Source organism: Homo sapiens, chromosome 1 (assembly GCF_000001405.40).
Source record: "Homo sapiens chromosome 1, GRCh38.p14 Primary Assembly".
Lineage (NCBI taxonomy): Eukaryota > Metazoa > Chordata > Mammalia > Primates > Hominidae > Homo > Homo sapiens.
The window spans coordinates 186,905,017-186,925,084 of NC_000001.11; the positions used below are offsets into that span (position 1 = coordinate 186,905,017).

A 20,068-nucleotide genomic window follows, 5' to 3' on the forward strand; every position below is an offset into this window, starting at 1 on the left:
GATAATTTTTGTATTTTTAGTAGAGATGGGATTTCGCCATGTTAGCCAGGCTGGTTTCGAACTCCTGACATCAGGTGATCCACCTGCCTTGGTCTCCCAAAGTGCTGGGATTACAGGTGTGAGCCACCACACCCAGCCAAACATTGGATATGTAATTAATAAATTGCTTGGAGACCTGCCAGCTGGGAAACCAGCATTTTCTTGAGCACTTTCTGTCATGAGACGGCACAATGAAAGAGGCCTTGAATCTTTCCATTTATTAGAAAACTCTACATAGAGTTGTAATTGTTAATGTTATTTCCATCCACTCACAATGGCTTTACACTCTGGTGATAAAAACATTAAATCTAGTATCATTTTAAGGGCAATTTTTATGTATTTCTTGAAAAAAAAAGACCATGCTTTACCCATATCTTGCTTTCTTCTAAATTGCATTGTCTGTTTGGTAGCCAATCACCCTTTGACGTTACATTCATCTGAGCATGCATTATTCCATGTGTCCTGGGATTCTCAATTAGTTTATTAACTTTAAAAATATGTATATGCTTCTTTGATGAAAGAATGCTCATAGAATTCTATATATAGGAACTGTTTTCTGGGTCAGACCATCCCATGATTTTGTCCCCAATAGTAATCAGCTATTTCTTGATGAGAAAAGATTGCCTGATGCACTCCTCCTCCTCACACACACACACACACACACACAAACGAACAGTAATTTGACAAATATGTGTTATCTGTTGTATGCCAAATACTATACAATGGACTAGTAATAGGAACCTATATAAGACAGAGCTTACAGTTTAGTGAGAGAGGCAAATTTTTGTATAGATGTTTTCAATACCTTTTGCTTACTCATAAAATTCAGCACTGAGAATCAATCATCTATGAACTTATTTTAACCTTTTTGGAAACCTCCTTCTAGTCTGTGTTTTTCCCTTCCTTGAAACTCAAGAGGGTAAATCTAATAATCTATAGCATTTTATGTTGATTCTAAAAATTTCCTCTGCACATTTCAAGAGGTATATCCTAGTTCTGTTCTACTTGAAGTTATTGAACAAGTTAGCTCTATCTATGTTCTTATGGTAACCTGATACAATAAAAATAATAACACATTTACAACTGTGTAGCAACTTTCAAAGCATTTTCTCATTTGGTTCTTATAACAATCTACAATTACATTTTTCATAGCTAACGCCAGGGATAATATTGAAAAGGCCTTTCTGTACAACAGATTTACAGTCTCTGGAAAGACAACTCTTAATATCTTAAGTGGATATTAATCATTTTCTTTCCTTTACACAAAAATTGTCTCTCTGGCAGGATGTCCTCCTTCAATATGTTTGATAGGCTCAAATAGTGTTGAAATAAATAAAAACCAGAGGCTCCAGATCTCATTAGTAGATGTTTCCCGAGTCAACTACAGTTGGCTGGATCCTAGGTCCTACTGCCTGCCATGAATGGGTGTTGTATTTTCAGCTTACTACAGCCTGCACTTGTCTCAATTATACATGTGTGAACTTTCACCCAGGTTGATTCTAACCTCTGGGCCATTACAGCTTCTGATTTTGTGGCCTGAGGCAGCTCCTAAATAATAGACACAACATCTCAGTAGTTTTTATATCTCAGGCACTTTTTATATTTTGTAAATAGTAGTTGTGGTGAGCTACTTTATTTTACTGAGGGAGGAAAACAACCAGGCAGAGATAATTCTTGTGTTTGCTAAAATGACGTACTAAGTAGACTTACAAAAAAAATACCAAAAAGTTGGTTTACTGAAATACGCCTGTAGTTTAGGGTCTTCATGGAGCTGTGTTACTTTTATTTTTAGGGTTTTGTTTTTTTGATTAAAAATAATCTGGCACTCAAAATTTATTTTGAGTTTGTTTCCATGATATAAACACATATCTACTTTATGACCTAATCTGATTAACATGTCTTTTTTTAGGTCACTGAAATGGTTCTAGAAATGTCTCTTGAAGTTTGGTAAGTGCATTTATTTAGTTGGATGAGAAATATTGTGAGTGATCCACTAATTTATTTTAATTGTTAAAGAATTTTTTTATATATAATTCTGCAGCTGTGAACATATAGAAGTGCATTATGTTTACTTTGCTTTTCTTTAGTTGTCTGTTAATACCTACAAAATCTTTACAAACATATTCTTATATTCATTATTCTTATATTTTAATATGCTTTGCTTATTTTTCCAATAGTTTCATGGTCATATAATAATGTCAGAATAAGTGCTTTATGAAAGAGTCCTCCCTCTAGTCGTACATCTATTCCCATAGAAATGAATGCAGTTATTTAAGCGCCTCTTCTATTGTTGATTCAGGTAGATATTCAAAAACATAGAAGTGAACTTAAACAGAAACTATATAATAATTTTTAAAATTGAGACTGATTTTATTCATACTGACCCAGCTGGACTACTGCTAATAATGTTCCATGAAGCATACTGCTCTTTCAAAATGGCCTCCAAAACTGAACGTTAGGGAATCATGTACTTATTTTCAAACGGCGAATTTTAGGGTAGGCAAGTCTGCCTTGATCTAACTGTTCTCTGATGTAATAATGAGTTCCCTTAACCTCTCTGCATCTCTTTGAACTTCCCTGTTGAACTTGATTTGACCAAAGTTATTAGTACATATTTTACACAAATGCCACGAAAACAAATTGAACATTTTCACATCTGGTGATTTGGCAAATGCATGATAATAGGTACATTGGGTTTAGGCATTTGTTTATTGTATTTTGATCCCTGGAACATGTGGATTTGACTTAGCAAGTGATTGGCATAAATGTCCACAACCTGTTAATATAAGTCAGCAAATATCAAAGGATAGTCCAAGTTATTGTGTTGCATTATTTTGTATTAAGTTCATTCTTGCTTAAAAGTGGTATATTTTGGCATGAGATTAGAAACACTTGTTATTTGACTGACTATGGAAGTAATGCTTTTGTTTAGCGGGGAATAGTCTTCACTGAGGTAATTAGGACATATTTTTATAATATTAAAAATTTCTTTTTTTGTATGTTAATTTATGTCAGCTCTAGAACAGAAATTGTTTTCAAAGAAAAATTCAATTTATTCAAAGAAAAATTTTCCATGTCATGCCTTCTATTAAAAATAACATAAAAGCAAGAAAGAATTAATTAGAAAGTTAAAAATAATGCATAAAAGTAAATTAACCATAATTCTACTACTGAATTTATAAAATTACTCAGAATTTTTTGAATTTTCATCCAGATTTTGAAAACTGATATCCTTAAAACATCTAGGTCATTATACTGTTCAAAAATTTTTTAAAAATCATGATTCTTTTTTAAAAATTATATATAACAGAACAGTATATTACAGAGAACATGACTTCCAGAATAATAAGACCTAGATTTAATTCTACTACTTTCTAATTATGTTAGTGATTGATAGATTTCTAATCACTTATTTACTCACTGGTAAAATAAGAAAAGAATACTTTCTAAGCATATCACTGTGATTAAATGAGGTGTTCTTTCTAAAGAGTACATATACAATAGGAAATTTTCATACACGTATACCACATGTTAATAATGGTGCTGCTTGTAATAGTTTACAAAACATTGGAAATTATTTCAATATTTATGGATAAATAGATTATAGTATACTAATATAATGAAATACTACATAATAGTAAAAGTGTTTGAATTACTTTTATTTATATAAGCACAGATGATTCTCAAAAAAAAGTGTTCACTGGAAAAAATAATTTGCACTAATTACTAAAAACCTGCAAAATGAAAACCTTATTTAGGGACATAAATATATATTGTAAAATTATAAACATATATGGAATGATGAAGATTAAATTTAAGTAGTGATTACCTTTAAGGAACAGAAAAGGAAATAAAGTTGAGGAGGTGTCATAGAGGCAACTGTACAGGTAAGATTTTAATTTCTTTTCTTTTCTTTTTTTTTTTTTTTTTTTTTTTGAGACGGAGTCTTGCCCTGTCACCCAGGCTGGAGTGCAGTGGCGCGATCTCGGCTCACTGCAAGCTCTGCCTCCCAGGTTCACGCCATTCTCCTGCCTCAGCCTCCCGAGTAGCTGGGACTACAGGCGCCAGCCACCACGCCCGGCTAATTTTTTTCTATTTTTAGTAGAGACGGGGTTTCACCGTGTTAGCTAGGATGGTCTCGATTTCCTGACCTCGTGATCCGCCTGCCTCGGCCTCCCAAAGTGCTGGGATTACAGGCATGAGCCACCGCGCCCGGCCTTTAATTTCTTATAGTGTTTAGAAGATACCTAACCTAATATGTCATTATAAAGAATAGTAATAGAAAAGAGTGTAGCCCAAGATTAGACTTAAAAGTGTTCATTTGGCTGGGCGTGGTGGCTCATGCCTGTAATCCCAGCACTTTGGGAGGCTGAAGTGGGTTGATTACCCGAGGTCAGGAGTTCCAGACCAGGTTGACCAACATGGAGAAACCCTGTCTCTACTAAAAATACAAAATTAGCCAGGTGTATTGGTGCGTGCCTGTAATCCCAGCTACTTGGGAGGCCGAGGCAGGAGAATCGCTGGAACCCAGGAGGCGGAGGTTGTGGTGAGCTGAGATTGTGCCATTGCACTCCAGCCTGGGCAACAGGAGCGAAACTCCGTCTCAAAAAAAAAAAAAAAAAAAAAGTTAACTCACTGTCTTACTCTTTTCCCCCGTTACATGATTTCCAAAATCATATTTAATAATTGTATAACCCAATACTTTTATATACAGTTCAACAACCGTTTCTTTAAATGATCTTTAAAAAGTTTTTGGTTACTTCCCTTAAGATAGGTTTCCAGAAGTAGAATTATTAGGCCAAAAGGAATCTATGTTCTAATTATTTTTGAACATTCCATATTGCTAATATGCCAAATTTGAATACTGCTTAATTGCTTTTTAACAAACTTATATTCCCAAAATGGATGCATGAGAATATTAGTGTTATTTTTCCTTTCTAGGACTAGAAAATAAGTATTTAAAATATTTTAATATCAATTATTTTAATAACAGTATCATTTAAATTCACTAGTGAAATTAAACTTTTTTGTTATTAATTCTGCTTTCTCTTTTGTGAGGTACCTATATTTGTCCTTTGGGAAGTAGTAATTAAACTATTATTTGTAATGGTCAAATATAGCCATAAAGAACATAGCTCAGAGGCTTGGTCTCTTTCTGTATTTTACAAGGAAAAAATATACTGAACTAACAGAAATGAGATTTAAAATTGATTTACAATTAAGGTAAGGATTTTTATGAATGGTAAAGAGACAAATATTTTATTGGTGATAATTCTTGACTTCTGCTTTTTGGATTTATTCACACTCCAACATAGGCTGACAGATTTTTAAAAAGTATTTTTAAATTCAGTAGTTGGTATTTAGACTTCAGTATTAAGATATGTCTTATATGTTGCATGGTGAAAGTACATCACATGTTTACTCTGTGATCCTAACCTCTCAGGGCATTAGTTTTCTAATTTATAAAGCTGCAATATATAATAATATATTGTATAATAATATGTAGTGATACTCCCATCGTTCTTGCAATGATTCATACGTAATACCTAATGTGACTTCTGGCATAGTGTAGAGAAATTGCTACTGCCTTCATTAGCAAGATAAAGTATATATAATTTAAGGGTTCTAAAGTCCTCTAGTGGTAAACTCATTTATGGTTATCTCAAGTTCTGTGATTAGAAGTTCCTTTCTTTGTTAGAGGGGGGCATCCATTAGACAAGGCAATTAATTAAGACAATATTTCTGCAAGTATGTTCCTCAGAATGCTGGCTCTTTGGGATGTTAGAAAGTAATTATGATGGTGGAATAGTGAAGGGTGGAGAGATAAGGGAAGGAATTCTTGGTCAAGTAAGTTTGGGATATCCTGTGCCAAACAAATATAAACAGGGTTCTTTACTGAAGCCCTTCCAAGTCTTTGTTATAATATTCAACTTATCAGAGGCTGTTTGTTTGCTCGTTTATTTTATCTAAAGCATTGGAAAGTCCTTTTTCTCTGAAAACATGCTGTGGAAAATGCTGCTTTAAGATAGCCATCATTTTATCCTCTTATTTTAGGTCCCTTCTTAGGAAATGGCTTGAGGGAAGCAGTCAGCATATATCAGTGTAGCTCCTAGGGACCTGGAAAAGCTACCTGGATGGAAAACCAGACCACTGGGAGCACTGGCTCATGACTTTATCTGTTTGGTATTACAGCTCATGCCCAGACCTACGATTTAGTATGGCTCTGTGTGATCAGGAGAAGACTTTCAGACAACAGAGAAAAGAACACATAAGGGAGAGCATGAAGAAACTCTTGGGTCCAAAGAATAGTGAAGGATTGCATTCTGCACGTGATGTGAGTTGGAAATTTTTCAAGTGTTACTATACTTTAATAATAATTTAGCTTGGACAATTTCCCCAATAATTTTACCCAAATATGGCAATATTGAGATTGAGCATTATTCCTTTAGTTTTTTAAGGTAAGGTAAGTGATTTGTAAATGAAAACTCTTTGAGGAAGGTCATCACAAATGGTGCCCTAGCTGGTAATATTTATCAGCTATAGTTTTTAGTTTTATTTTTACTTTATATTTTAGAGCAGTGTTAAGTTCACAATAAAATTGAGCCAAAAGCACAGAGAGTTCCAATATGCTTCTTCTCCCTGCACAACCTCCCAAGTTTAGTCAGGTTCTCCAGAGAAACAGAACCAAAAGATATACACAGTAGATATGAGGAGATTTATTATGAAGTTTGGCTCACATGATTATGGAGGCCAAGCAGTCCCACGATATGCTTTCTGCAAGCTGAAGAACCAGGAAAGCCCGTGGTGCAATTTAGTCCAAGACAAAGGTGCACCAGTGGAGTAACTCCCAGTCAGAGGCTGGGCAGTTGGAGGGGGAGGTGGGAGTCTTGAAGTCTGAAAGTAGGAGAACCCGGAGCAACAATGTCTAAAGGCAGGAGAAAAGGGATGTCTCAGTTCAAGGACAGAGAGACAATTGCCCACCTTCCACCTTTCTGTTCTCCTCAGGCCCTCCAAGGATGGAATGATGTGCGCACCCATTGGCAAGGGTGGGTCTTTACTCAGTGTGCTGATTCACTTGTTTTTCTTTGGAAAACACCCTCATTAGCACCCCCAGAAAGAATGTTTTTCTAGTGATCTGAGTATCCTTTAGTCTGGTCAGGCTAATAAAGAAAATTAACCATTATACTCCCTAACTATCAACATCCCACACCAGAGTGGTACATTTGTTACAATCAGTGAACCCACATTGACACATCATTATCATCCAAGTCCATAGTTTACGCTAGGCTCACTGTTGGTGGTCTACATTTTATGGGGTTTGGACAAATGTGTAATGACATGCATCCACCATTATAGTATCATACACAGTAGTTCACTGTCCTAGAAATCCTCTGTGCTCCACCTATCATCTCTCCTCCCTACCCCTGCACCACTGATACTTTTACTGTCTCCATAGCTTTGCCTTTTGTTAGTTTGCCTAATGTAGTATAGTTGGAATCATACAGTATGTAGCCTTTCCAGATAGGCTTCTTTCACTTAGTAATACGAATATAAGTTTCCTCCATGTCTTTTCATGGTTTGGATAGCACATTTCATTTTAGTACTAAATAATATTCCATTGTCTGGATGTACCACATTTTATTTACTTATTCATATATATGTATATTTATATATACATATATATACATATATATGTATATATATACATAAGTATATATATATGTATACTTATATATATATGTATATATATATATACATATATATGTATCTAATATAAGTGTATGTATGTATTTGTATATAATATATATATAAGGCATACTTACGCATAAAGGAGTGTTGATTTTATCAATAGGAAAAGTTTAGCCTCAAATATAAAAGGATTAAAATTACTTAATTTAAATGTAGGCTAAAATTAAACTGTGGAAATCATCATTATCGAACAAGAAGAAAATGCCATAAATCTTGTTAATGATAATGGAATTAATAAATGCAGGCAAATGTGATGGGGAGAAAAAAGAAAATATTCCAAATTCTTTATATTTTGTAGTAGAGTTAAACAATATTTAAAATTGACCAAATTGAAGGATCGTACTTTCAATATTTGTTTATAATATATTTGTATTCTATATTTCTCTATAATTAGGATTATAAAAATCATTAAGTTGAAGAAATGATTTATAATCCTAATTATGGAGAAATACTGGAATATAAATATAAACAAATATTGAAAGTAAAATCCTTCAATTATAGTTTTTTTCTTTCCTTAAATTCCAGTAAAATGTAATATCCTTTATTACTCAATCATATATCTTAAAATCTACTTTTTGGCTATCTATCCATTCATTTATTTCATCTATGTATCCATCAATCACCTATCTAATCTGCTTATCTATTTCTCTCTTTATATATCTGTCCATCTTTCTATCTGAAATCTACAAAGATTAATTGCCACAATGATGCTCATCAAATGATAATGAAGTTTCTTGTTAGTGACGTATCAGGTAATTATTTACTTATTTATTTAGTTGAGCTTTCTTGTTAATTGAATATGTCAAATGAATATAATTTATTTTCATAAAAATAATATTTTAAATACATAAGTAAACATATATGTGCATAGTCTTGTACACTCTTGAATTATTTCTCGTAGGAATTAATTTCATTAAGTTTTTCATAAAATAATTTCATAAATAAATTAATTTCTTGGAATTCATTCTTGTAGGAATTTGAGATTATTGCAAATTAAGGGCAGGATACAGTTGGAAATGAGACATAAATTCTGAGTAAGGGAGCCAAATGATCACCCCTGTCCCACATGTGGTTGCAGATTTGCAAATATGTTTTAGGTGGGGGTAGGGTTCAAAAGCCAACCTACTGATGCTATAGTGACTTGTGTTGTTATGGGAGCAGACTCTAAGATGAGATGCTGCTTAAGGGGAATTTTTGCTTAAAGGAAACTAAGGAAACCTTCATTAAAGTTTATTTTAAAAAGAGAGGCTTCTCTTCAATCCTGCATCTTTTGTTTTGTTTTGTTTTTTTGTGTTTTTTTTTTGAGACAGGGTTTTGCTTTGTTGCCCAGGCAGGAGTGCAGTAGCACAATCATAGCTCACTGCATCATCAAACTCCTGGGCTTAAGTGATCCTCTTGCCTCAGTCTCCTAAGTAGCCAGGACTATGCGTGCATGCCACTACACCCAGAAAATTTATATATATATGTTTTTTTCTTTCTAGAGATGGGGATCTTGCTATATTGCCCAGGTTGGTCTCAAACTCCTGAGCTCAAGCAACACTTCCACCTCTGCCTGCCAAAGTGCTAGTGTAGCAGGACAAGCCACAGACAAAAACCCCTCAGACACCGAGTTAAAGAAGGAAGGGGTTTGTTTGGCCGGGAGCATCGGCAAGACTCCTGTCTCAAGAGCCGAGCTCCCTGAGTGAGTAATTCCTATCCCTTTTAAGGGCTCACAACTCTAAGGGGGTCAGCTTGAGAGGGTCGTGATCATTTGAGCAAGCAGGGGGTACATGACTGGGGGCTGCATGCACCAGTAATTAGAACAGAACAGAATAGGACAGGGATTTTCACAGTGCTTTTCTATGCAATATCTGTAATCTATAGATAACATAACTGATTAGGTCAGGGGTTGATGTTTAACTACCAGGCCCAGGGTGTGGTGCTGGGCTGTCTGCTTGTGGATTTCATTTCTGCCTTTTAGTTTTTACTTCTTCTTTCTTTGGAGGTAGAAATTGGGCATAAGACAATATGAGGGGTGGTCTCCTCCCTTATATCCTCCCCATTTGAGACTCTCACTCAATAGTGGGAGTTCTCACTTTCATTTTTACTACCCATGTCTTCTTGCAAGACGGATCAATAGTGATTCATATAGTACACTTGTGCTGAAGCATTTTGGTGAACTAAAGTAGCGATGAAGCTTTTTATCATTTGAAGAAGTACAGGTAGCAAACAAGGGAGCAGTAAGCAGGTTCCTATTACTATTATAACTCTTATTATAAGAGTTTTAAATCCTCCTAGTGCTGGGAACCATTTTCCAAACATGGCCCCAGGATCAAATCCATGCCACACTTGCACGGGCATGTGTGCCAGTTTTGTCATATCTCTAACTATGTCTTCAACTACTTGCCCTTGATCATCTATGTGTAGACAGCAATTAGTAAGGTTAAATTTCCCACAGACCCCTCCTTCAGCTGCTAGCAAGTAGTCAAGGGCCAATCTATTTTGACAGATAGCATTTCTCATCTGAGTTTCTTGCCGGGCCAGAATAGTCAAGGCTCTGCCGGTTTTATTAGTGATTATTTCTAAGACAGCTTGTAACTGTATGATTCGGTTGATCATGTAAATGGGGGTCCAGTATCCCCACGAGCCAACTTGTGCCCAAGTAGCAGGCCCATAATATTGTATGATTCTCTCAGGGGGCCATTCATTATCTTTCTAATTTTTTATAGCTATGCTTCTCTTTTCACGGAAAGCATAGACAGGGAAGCCCAGGAATTTGCCTGTTTTTATGGGCAGTAGGAAGAAAGATGGTTTAATAGTTTCAATAACACAACTACCTGCCCACTGGTAGTTGTATTATTGGAAGCTGTATGCCCACATATCCAGTATAATGCCGTGGGGGCTGTCCAGTCCCAGTGGGACTCCGGGTGGGTCCACACGATTTGCAGCTTTGGAAATTTACTAAATGGATTCCTCTCTGTGTGATTTGAGCTCCACCAAGTGACTGTTTTTGTGGTACCATTATACAGTTTCTGTCCCAGACAACTAAGTCATCCTACGGGGTGAGTGAATTTTTTTCCTTCTCTAGCTATGCAATATTGTCCAGTAATTGAGGGTTTTAGGACCCAGAAATTATCAGGGTAATTCTTTTGAGCCAGGAATTCATCAGGAACTGGGTCTACAGGTACTAATTCTCGGGCTTTCCATGGCCATTGATATCCTGTTACGGTTCCTCCACAGACATAACATGAAGTGACATTGAGAGGCTGGGCTACACACTCGGCTAGTTGCAAAAACAAATTTCTTGTTTTTCCTGGAATTTCTGGTACTGGCACATTTAGTTCATCATAGAAAGTTTGAAACACTGGCTCAGGAGAGCGTTCGTAAACTTCTCCTCCTCGAACCAAGATATTTACTCGAGGATCCAGTCTGGCCCTGTCGATTCCTAAGGTCACACGCTCCCCTTTTTTCCAGTGAGGATTAAGGGGATTGGTTATCACTAGCTCTAAGGGGTTACATTGTCCCTTAGTACAGGAAGGGTCATTCTTTCCTTTCTGAAGGTGGACTGGATCCTTTTCATTTTTTTATCCAAGTGGCCCAAATGACACAAGACCAGTATCCACATTCATTTCCACACAGTCCTAATTCATGACAAATGTACTTATTTTTGGTCATATAGCCTTTTTCCCAACTAAAATGGCCACATCCCCTTCCTAGCTTATTGCTATTAATGATAGCACAGGCATCAAATTTCAAGATTATGCGTTTGGGCACCCCTTTTTCTTCTGTTCTGGCTAATACTTTACTTGTATCATTTATGAGTCCCCACCAGTCTTCAGTCCTTAATCTTATTTCAAAAACAGTGGACATGGGAGGCTCAGAGGGGTCATAACACACATCTGGTCTGTCGTTTCCTGGGCTACATACCTGTACTGAGTGTCATTATATAAACATGTTCCTTTTAAAGTTCCTAGGCATTCATAGTAACTATAGAACAGAATAATTGTTTTAACTTGTTGCCCTACCTCGGTAACCTGATGTATACACTGAGAGCAGTCCTCCATGCAGGGAAAATCAGTGGAAGTGTCTACTATACAAGTCCAAATTATAAGGAAAATGAATCCCATGATAATTTTCCTCATGCTTCGGCTGTGCATAGACCAGTCAGCTTCTGGGTGTGACTGGAGCAGGGCTTGTCGTCCTCCTCAGAGTCACTTTGCAGGGGTTGTCCGGGCTCGGTTTTGCCTTCCAGGTTTCAGCGGCTGCAGGTTTCACACGGCTGTGGTGGATCCAGGGTGGGATTCCTTCTACCTTTACAGCTGTGGGGGTGTTCAGGATGATGGTCTGAGGTCCTTTCCACCGTGGCCGCAAAGGGGCTACATTCCAGTCCTTGATTCATACGCGATCACCTGGAGAGAAAGGGTGAACTGGGGAGAATAAGCTGATGGGACACCTCTCATTTACCCAAGTTGAGATTGTTTGTGTAATTTTTCCTAAAGCCTGTAGCTGTCGCTGTAATTCAATTCACCTAACTCTTGGGAAGTGCCTGGAAGCTCTCCTAGTATAGGAGGAGGCCTATGATACAGTATTTCTTAAGGGGAGTATCCTGTTTTCTTAGAAGGAGTGCATCTAATTTTAAACAATACCATAGGAAGGGCCTGTATCCACTTTAATCCTGTTTCCTGACATACTTTCCCTAAACTATTTTTGATAGTCCGATTCATTCGCTCCACCTTTCCGGAACTCTGAGGTCAGTAGGCGGTATGTAGCTTCCAAGTGATTCCTAATGCCTTTGCTGTCTTCCGTACCAAGTGAGCCACAAATGCCGGCCCGTTATCTGAGCTGATTCATAAGGGCAGTCCAAACCTAGGAATAAGATCTTGGAGAAGCACATGGGTTACCTTGTAGGGCTTTTCAGTTCGTGTTGGATAAGCCTCCACCCACCCAGAGTAAGTACACGTAAGAACCAGCAAATACTTGTTACCTCCACATTTTGGCATTTCTGTGAAATCCACCTGAAGATCCTCAAAAGGAGCTGCTCCATAAGCTTGTATGTGGGGCGAAACAGTGGGGCTTTGCCTCGCATTGTGCTGTCGGCATGTAATGCACAGTTGTGCTACTGCTTTGGCAAAGGCTGGCAAGTGTGAGACGTAGAAGTACCGGCCTAACAATTCTTCAAGTGACTCTTGCCCTAGGTGAGTGGTTTCGTGCATGGCCAATACGACTGTGGCTCCCAGCAACTGCAGCACAGCTACCCTCCCATCTGGCAGTCTGATTCATCCTCCTTTTATTACTTGCCCCCTGTCTGGGTGGAAGAAGTCTTTTTCTTCCTTAGAATAGGTATGTACCAGGTCAGGTGTTTGAGGGAGTAAGGGGGCTGCTATCGATGCCCAGTAAGGGGTAGATGCTGCTTTTTGAGCTTCTGAATCAGGTCGAGAGTTTCTTAAGGCCACTGAGGTGGAGGCTCGCTGGTGTCCCCTGCAGTGCATGACTGCCACCTTCTGAGGTTTCCACACTGCCTCTAATAATTGTAGAATTTACTGTTGATATTTTATGTCCTTTCCCCCAGAGTTTAACAGGCCCTTTTCCTTATATAATGCTCCATGCACTTGGAGGGTTAGAGAGGCATATCCAGAGTCAGTGTAGATGTTTACAGTCTTACCTTCACTGAGTTCTACAGCCCGAGTTAAAGCAATGAGCTCAGCCTTCTGGGCTGAAGTGCCCTGTAGCCACAGTTTGGCTTTAATGACAGCATCCAAAGTTACCACCGCATATCCTGCACATCTTTCTCCTTGTGAGTTGATGAAGCTGCTCCCGTCCATGTATAACTCCCAGTCTACTGATGATGCCCATGGCTGGTCCCGAAGGTCAGGTCTGCTAGAATAGACTGAGTCCAACACCTCTACACAGTTATGCTCGCCCGGGCTCTCTGATACTGGGAGCAGGGTGGTGGGATTTAGGGTGTTACAGACTTCAATAGTTATGTGGGGATTTTCACATGGCAAGCTTTGGTACTTGGTTAATCTAGCATTTGTTAGCCAATGATGTCCTTCGGTAGTCATCAAAGTTACCACAGCATGGGGGGCCTTTATATTCAGGTTTTGCCCAAGGGTTAGTTTATCTGCTTCTTGTGCTAACAGGGCTGTTGCTGCCAGGGTCCTTAGACATAGTGGCCAGCCTTTGGAAACCCATCTAGTTGTTTTGAGAGATAGGCCACTGGCCTTGGCCAGGGCCCCACAGTCTGGGTTAAAACTCCAACTGCCATTTTTTCTCTTTCTGACACATAGAGTGTAAAGGGCTTTGTCAAATCTGGTAGTCCTAGGGCTGGGGCCGACATAAGTTTTTCCTTTAACTTACAAAAGGCTTGCTGTTGTAGAGGCCCCCATTCAAAAGGCTCCCAATCGCCCCTCTTTGTAACCCCGTACAAAGGTTTGGCTAAAACTGCAAAGTTTGGAATCCATAATCTGCAAAACCCCACAGCTCCTAGGAATTCCCCTACTTGCCTTCTGGTTCCAGGTTCCGGTAGGCTACAGATGACCTGCTTTCTTTCTGACCCCAGGCTGCGCTCCCCTTTCCGAATAGTGAATCCCAGGTAGCGTACCTGCTGTCTGCAGATATGAGCTTTCTTCTTGGACATCTTATACCTACAGTCCTCCAGGTGCTGAAGCAGGACATCCATCCCTTTTGCACACTCGACTGCCGTGGAGTGTCCCAGCAGAAGGTCGTCCACGTACAGGAGCAAGATGCAGCCTAGGTCTTTGGCAGGAAATTTTTGTAGGTCTCAAGCCACGGCCTCCCTGAACATAGTAGGGGAGTTCTTGAACCCTTGGGGAAGCCGGGTCCAAGTGTACTGAGTAGTGACACCTGACTGCGGATCTTCCCACTGAAAGGCAAACAGCTTCTGGCTCTCAGGAGCTAGTCTGATGCTAAAGAAGGCATCTTTTAAGTCCAGACAGGTAAACCAGCTGTCCTCAGCCAGCAGCAGCCCTAACAATGTGTAAGGGTTAGGAACTGTTGGGTGCAAAGTCACTGTAGCTTGGTTGACCAAGCGCAAGTCCTGTACTGGCTGGTAGTCCTTGGTCCCTGGCTTAGGGACAGGCAGGAGGGGGGGTGTTCCATGGAGACTGGCAAGGAACTATAATTCCATAGGCTTTCAAGCACCTGCGATGAACCTGGATTCCTTTGAGAGCTTCTCTGGGAACCGGATACTGCTTTTGTCTAATTGGTTGGGCCCCAGGCTTAACGTCTATGAGCACGGGGGCTTGGTTGACCGCCAGTCCCGGAGGATTATCATTTGCCCATACTTGGGCCATTGCTTAGCTAGAGCTGGTTTTATCTCTTGGCCTGGCTCGGTTAGAAAAAGTCCCCTTTCTTCTTCCCAGGGGACTGACCATAAGAGCCATGATAATTCCTGTTCCTGGTAACTTTAGCTGTAAAGAGCCCTGTTTTGTAAAGGAGATGGTGGCTCTCAGCTTGCTAAGCAAGTCTCTTCCCAGCAAGGGCAAGGGACAGTCAGAAATACACAAGAACTGGTGAACTATCTCATGTCCCCCCACCGAGCAGGTCCGTGGTAGGCAGAAAGCCTGCTTAGTGGAAACTCCTGTTGCTCTGATTATATCAAAGGGGGCGACTGGGGTGGTCACTACTGAATGTTCAGCACCAATATCGACCAAAAACTTAATGTCCTTGCCCCCAGTTGTAATCCTGACCGTGGGCTCCTTGGGGGCGCTTGAGCCCGGTCCCCTTCAGTCCAGTAGCCCTTCAGCCAGATTAAACAAAGCTCCCTCATCTTTATCTGAGGTCTTTTGTTCCGAATCACCTTGCTTTTCCTTCAGTTGGGGACACTTATCTTTCCAATGTCCTATTTCCTTACAGTAGGCGCATTGGTTAGGTTGCAAGCGTGGGTGATTAGACTGGGTATTCTTCCCAGAACCCCCCTTTTCCTCTCCTTTCAGGGGAATTCCCCTAAAGGCCGTGGCCAGTAAGTCGGCGTTTCGCCTAGCCTGGCATTCACCTTCTTTATGGCTTTCTCTGCGGCTTGTTGCATCTCTATTCACAAATACTTGATTGGCTATTTCCAGTAACTGTGAGGTATTCATATGCGCAAACCCAGCCTGTTTCTGCAATTTTCTCCTGATATCTTCCGCGCTTTGACTAACTAAGGCCATGTTAATCATGTGCTGATTTTCAGGGCTATTTGGATCAAAAGGAGTGTACATAGGGTAAGCCTCACACAGTCTTTCATAGAATTGTGCTGGACTCTCCTCTTTTCCTTGGGTGACCTCAGAGACCTTATTTACATTTGTAGTCTTTTGAGCCCCTTTCTTTAGACCTTCTATTAATGCCTCACGGTACCGTCTTAGCCTTTCCATGTCTGGTCTCTTGTTCAGGTCCCATTGGGGGTCTGTTCCTGGCAGCTGAATTCTTACATATTCTTGGGGGTTTTGGTAATCAGCTAGGACGTGCTCCTGTAGCCACTTAGTTGCCACCTGGAGCACCCTTTGCCTTTCATCTGTGTTTAAAAGTTACATGAGCAGCTAGTGGCAATCAGCACAAGTAGGATTATGAGTCTGTATAATAGTTTGGAGCAAGTCAATTAAAGCTTGAGGCTTTTCAGTGTAAGATGGAGTATTATTTTTCCAATTGAGGAGGTCAGCAGAGGTGAAAGGTTGATACACAAAGGCACGCCTTTCCACCATGTGTCTGTCCTCATCTACCCCAGTATATTGCTTCTCTCTCAGGGGCATTTGGATTCCAGTCTTGGGCCATAAGCAAGCTGTCAACGGAGAAGTTTCTCCTGTGGCTTCACTTCCTCTTCTGTCTACTCTGTGTGATCTAGGGGTGTGGTTATCTGGTGGAGGTGTAGGTGCTGTGGCCTCAGGAGTGGGGAGCCCTTCCTTTTGATAAGGAGGGGGTACTGCTGATACCAATTCCTGCCATGATTCTTCTGGAGTTGGGTCGGACAGGACTTTTGGTCCCGACTTCCCTCGGTGGGTGGAGGGAGAACCTTCCTTAACTAACTGTCCCTTTGCTACTAGTACTGCTGCTGCCTGTCCTCTTGACCACTGTGGGGGGTCCAAAACTAGCTGTAGCCAATAATTTACATATGGGAACTCATCTGGGTGCCCTGACTTACAGGTTACCCTGTGCCATACCTTTGACACAGGGACCTGTCCAGGCTTCCTTCTGATGGCCAACCCACCTCTAATGCTGGCCAGTCTATCTCACAGAAAGTTTTAAGTTTTCCTGTTGTTATAGTGACTCCATAGTCTCCTTTAAATCCCTTTTTGAAATTTTTCCACATAGTTCCTAGTGGGGTGGGCTTACTTTGTGCCTGACCTGTGTTTCCTCGAGACAAAAGACCATGCTCACACCACACACACATCACAAAACAAAGAACGGGTAAAAAGGGCACACACACACTTTTACAGTTTACACCAAACCAGAATCAAAACCAAAATCAGAGTATCAAGAAATCCAAGTCAGGTCAAAACCAGACCCAAAGTATCAAGCAATCCAAGTCAAGTTGAAAACAAAAACCAAAGTGCCGGTACAGGCATGCCGTGGGTGATCAGGCCATGCTTCCACTCAAATGGAGTGGGCAAGTTCCAAAGACTAGTCTTACCAAGTTTCAGTTGTCCAGACTCCAAGTGCCAGTTCCTTCCTGGTGTTCAGCCACTGTGTTGATCCTTCACGGGGGCCTGCCACGCGCTGCTCTGGTGAGGCATTCCACTGGGGCAGTTGCCTACCTAGGAGTGCTCTCAGGATCTGCTTTGCTCAAGCTGGCCAGAGTCCCCTGCAGGGATGCTCCACAGGGCAGGCCTAAGCCACCTAAGGAGCTGCCTCGACCGTCTGTTAATCACCTTGCTTCCCAGTCAGGGAACCAAGAAATGTAGCAGGACAAGCCTCAGACAAAACCCCTCAGACACCAAGTTAAAGAAGGAAGGGGTTTATTCAGCCTGGAGCATCGGCAAGACTCCTGTCTCAAGAGCTGAGCTCCCTGAGTGAGCAATTCCTGTCCCTTTTAAGGGCTCACAACTCTAAGGGGGTCCACTTGAGTGGGTTGTGATCGATTGAGCAAGCAGGGGTTACGTGACGGGGGGCTGCATGCACTGGTAATTAGAACAGAACAGAATAGGACAGGGATTTTCACAGTGCTTTTCTATACAATGTCTGTAATCTATAGATAACATAACCAATTATGTCAGTCGTCAATGTTTAACTACCAGGTCCAGGGTGTAGTGCCAGGCTGTCTGCTTGTGGATTTCATTTCTGCCTTTTAGTTTTTACTTCTTTCTTTGGAGGCAGAAATTGGGCATAAGACAATATGAGGAGTGGTCTCCTCCCTTACTGGGATTACAAGCACAAGCCACCATGCCTGGCCAAATCCTGTATCTTGCTTGTCAATATAATAGACTCTTGTTAGAACTTGTGGTTGTTTATCATGTCAGGCTAATTAGTTCTTGAAAAAACTGTCTTCTTCATATATTATTCAGAAATTTATAGCTTCTCTGAAGTTTTTAGTGTGTGTATGTGTGTTTCTTTTAATATAGAAAACTTTTCGGTAGCAATTCTACAACATTTTTCTTTTTGTCACCATCCTTGTATTGGTATACCCTCAAAACAGAAAAATGATATTACAAATTCTTTTCATTTCTAACATTTGTAATTTATTGAGATACTGTGCTAGGCACTAGAGAAGAATAAAGCTGAGATGGCTAGCCCTGAGGAGTTACCTTCCTTAGTGATTTTAAAGCCTTGTTTGGAAGAATGATATTTAAGCAAACAAAACCAATGATGTGTTAAGTTCTTAATAAAGAGGTGTGAACTGAGGGATGCAAGTGATTGCAAGAGGATGACTCACCCTCTGCAGTAGAGATGATAGAAATTTCTTTTAGAGTTGAAGACTGTTGGCCATGCCTTGAGGTATGAGCTTGCTAGAAGAAAAAGGAGGAAATTCATATTTCTTGTAAGTCATGACTGTCAACTTTATTTGGGAGAACGTGCCTTGCAATCTCAGAGTTTCCCTGCCTAATTGCTTTCTAGTTATTTGCAACAATTATTTTCTTTACTGCTAACGGCTGACTACTTCCTGTTCCCCTCATGACAGATAGACTTGTCTCCTAATGATAGAGAAATAAAAAGTTAGGAGATGACAAATCCTTCATTTCTTGCTATAAAATTGACATACTCCATAACTGATGCCTGTCTTTTGCAACCTCCCTCGTAGTTCAATAGAGAATATACTCCCTTTGCTTTCAAATGCAGATACCCATCAGATATGGATCCTAAGCTCCTCTTGAATACCCCAATATATCTATTATTCAGATTTTCCCAGATCACTCTCAACCTGTATTGTCAACGTCTACCTCCGTGTGGATATTTGCTATAAAAATATAAACATGTTCTAAACTCAGTTATAAAAAGAAAATAAAGAACAAAAAACATTTTCTGGATTCTGTATTCTCTCCTCCCTTCTGCTCTATTTCTCTCCTTACCTTCACAAACGTCTCCAACATTTTCTATACAAGCTCATTCTACCTCCTTTAGACACCAGTGCTAATAAATGCACAGGATCTTGTTCTTGCCCTATCTTACCTAACCTTGCAGATGCAAATGACAGATGTCTCCTTACATTTTGAAACATTGTCTACTCTTCACTTACTCCCTTTTCACGGTCTTTATCATGCCTCTTTGGTGTTCTTTACCAGCTCTTCTTCATCTGAGCGTTCCTTACATATAGTAATTCCTCAAGTCATAGTCCTAGGTCCTCTTTCTCCTCATTCTATTTCTTTCTTTCTTTTTTTGAGACAGGGTTTCACTTTGTCATCCAGGCTGCAGTGCAATGGCACCATCTTGGCTCATGGCAGCCTTGACTTCCTGGGTTCAAATGATCCTCCTGCCTCGACCTCCCAAAGTGCTGGGATTATGGGGTGCATGCCACCATGCCCCATGAGAAATACGTTTTTCTAGGCAATTGGGATTTAAATCCAGGATTCTCAGTCAGGGTGTGGTTGCTCTCACCTGTAATCCCAGCATTTTGGGAGGCCAAGGTGGGAGGATCAAGACTGGCCCAGCCAACATGGTGAAAACCCATGTCTGCAAAAAATACAAAAAAATTAGGTATGGTAGTGCGCACCTGTAGTCCTAGCTACTTGGGAGGCTGAGGCAGGAGGATCACTTGAACCCAGGAAGTAGAGGCTGCGGTGAGCCAAGATGGTGCCACTGCACTCCAGCCTGGGTGACAAAGTGAGATCTTGTCTCAAACAACAACAACAAAAAGAAATTTCTCTCTAGCCTA

General features: G+C 40.1%; 1 protein-coding gene across 5 annotated transcripts in view; it reads left to right on the top strand.

Moving 5' to 3' along the window:
- PLA2G4A (phospholipase A2 group IVA) overlaps positions 1 to 20,068 on the top strand; it is a 160,033-nt gene that overhangs the window by 76,068 nt on the left and 63,897 nt on the right. For 4 of the 5 annotated variants that reach the window (XM_011509642.3, NM_024420.3, XM_047422599.1 and 1 more), the window contains 2 exons: positions 1,949 to 1,986; positions 6,232 to 6,373. The exons of the other annotated variant lie outside the window; for it this stretch is intronic. In XM_011509642.3, the coding sequence (XP_011507944.1) occupies positions 1,949 to 1,986; positions 6,232 to 6,373 (180 nt within the window). The remainder of the gene's footprint in view (positions 1 to 1,948; positions 1,987 to 6,231; positions 6,374 to 20,068) is intronic. 5 annotated transcript variants of the gene reach the window in all.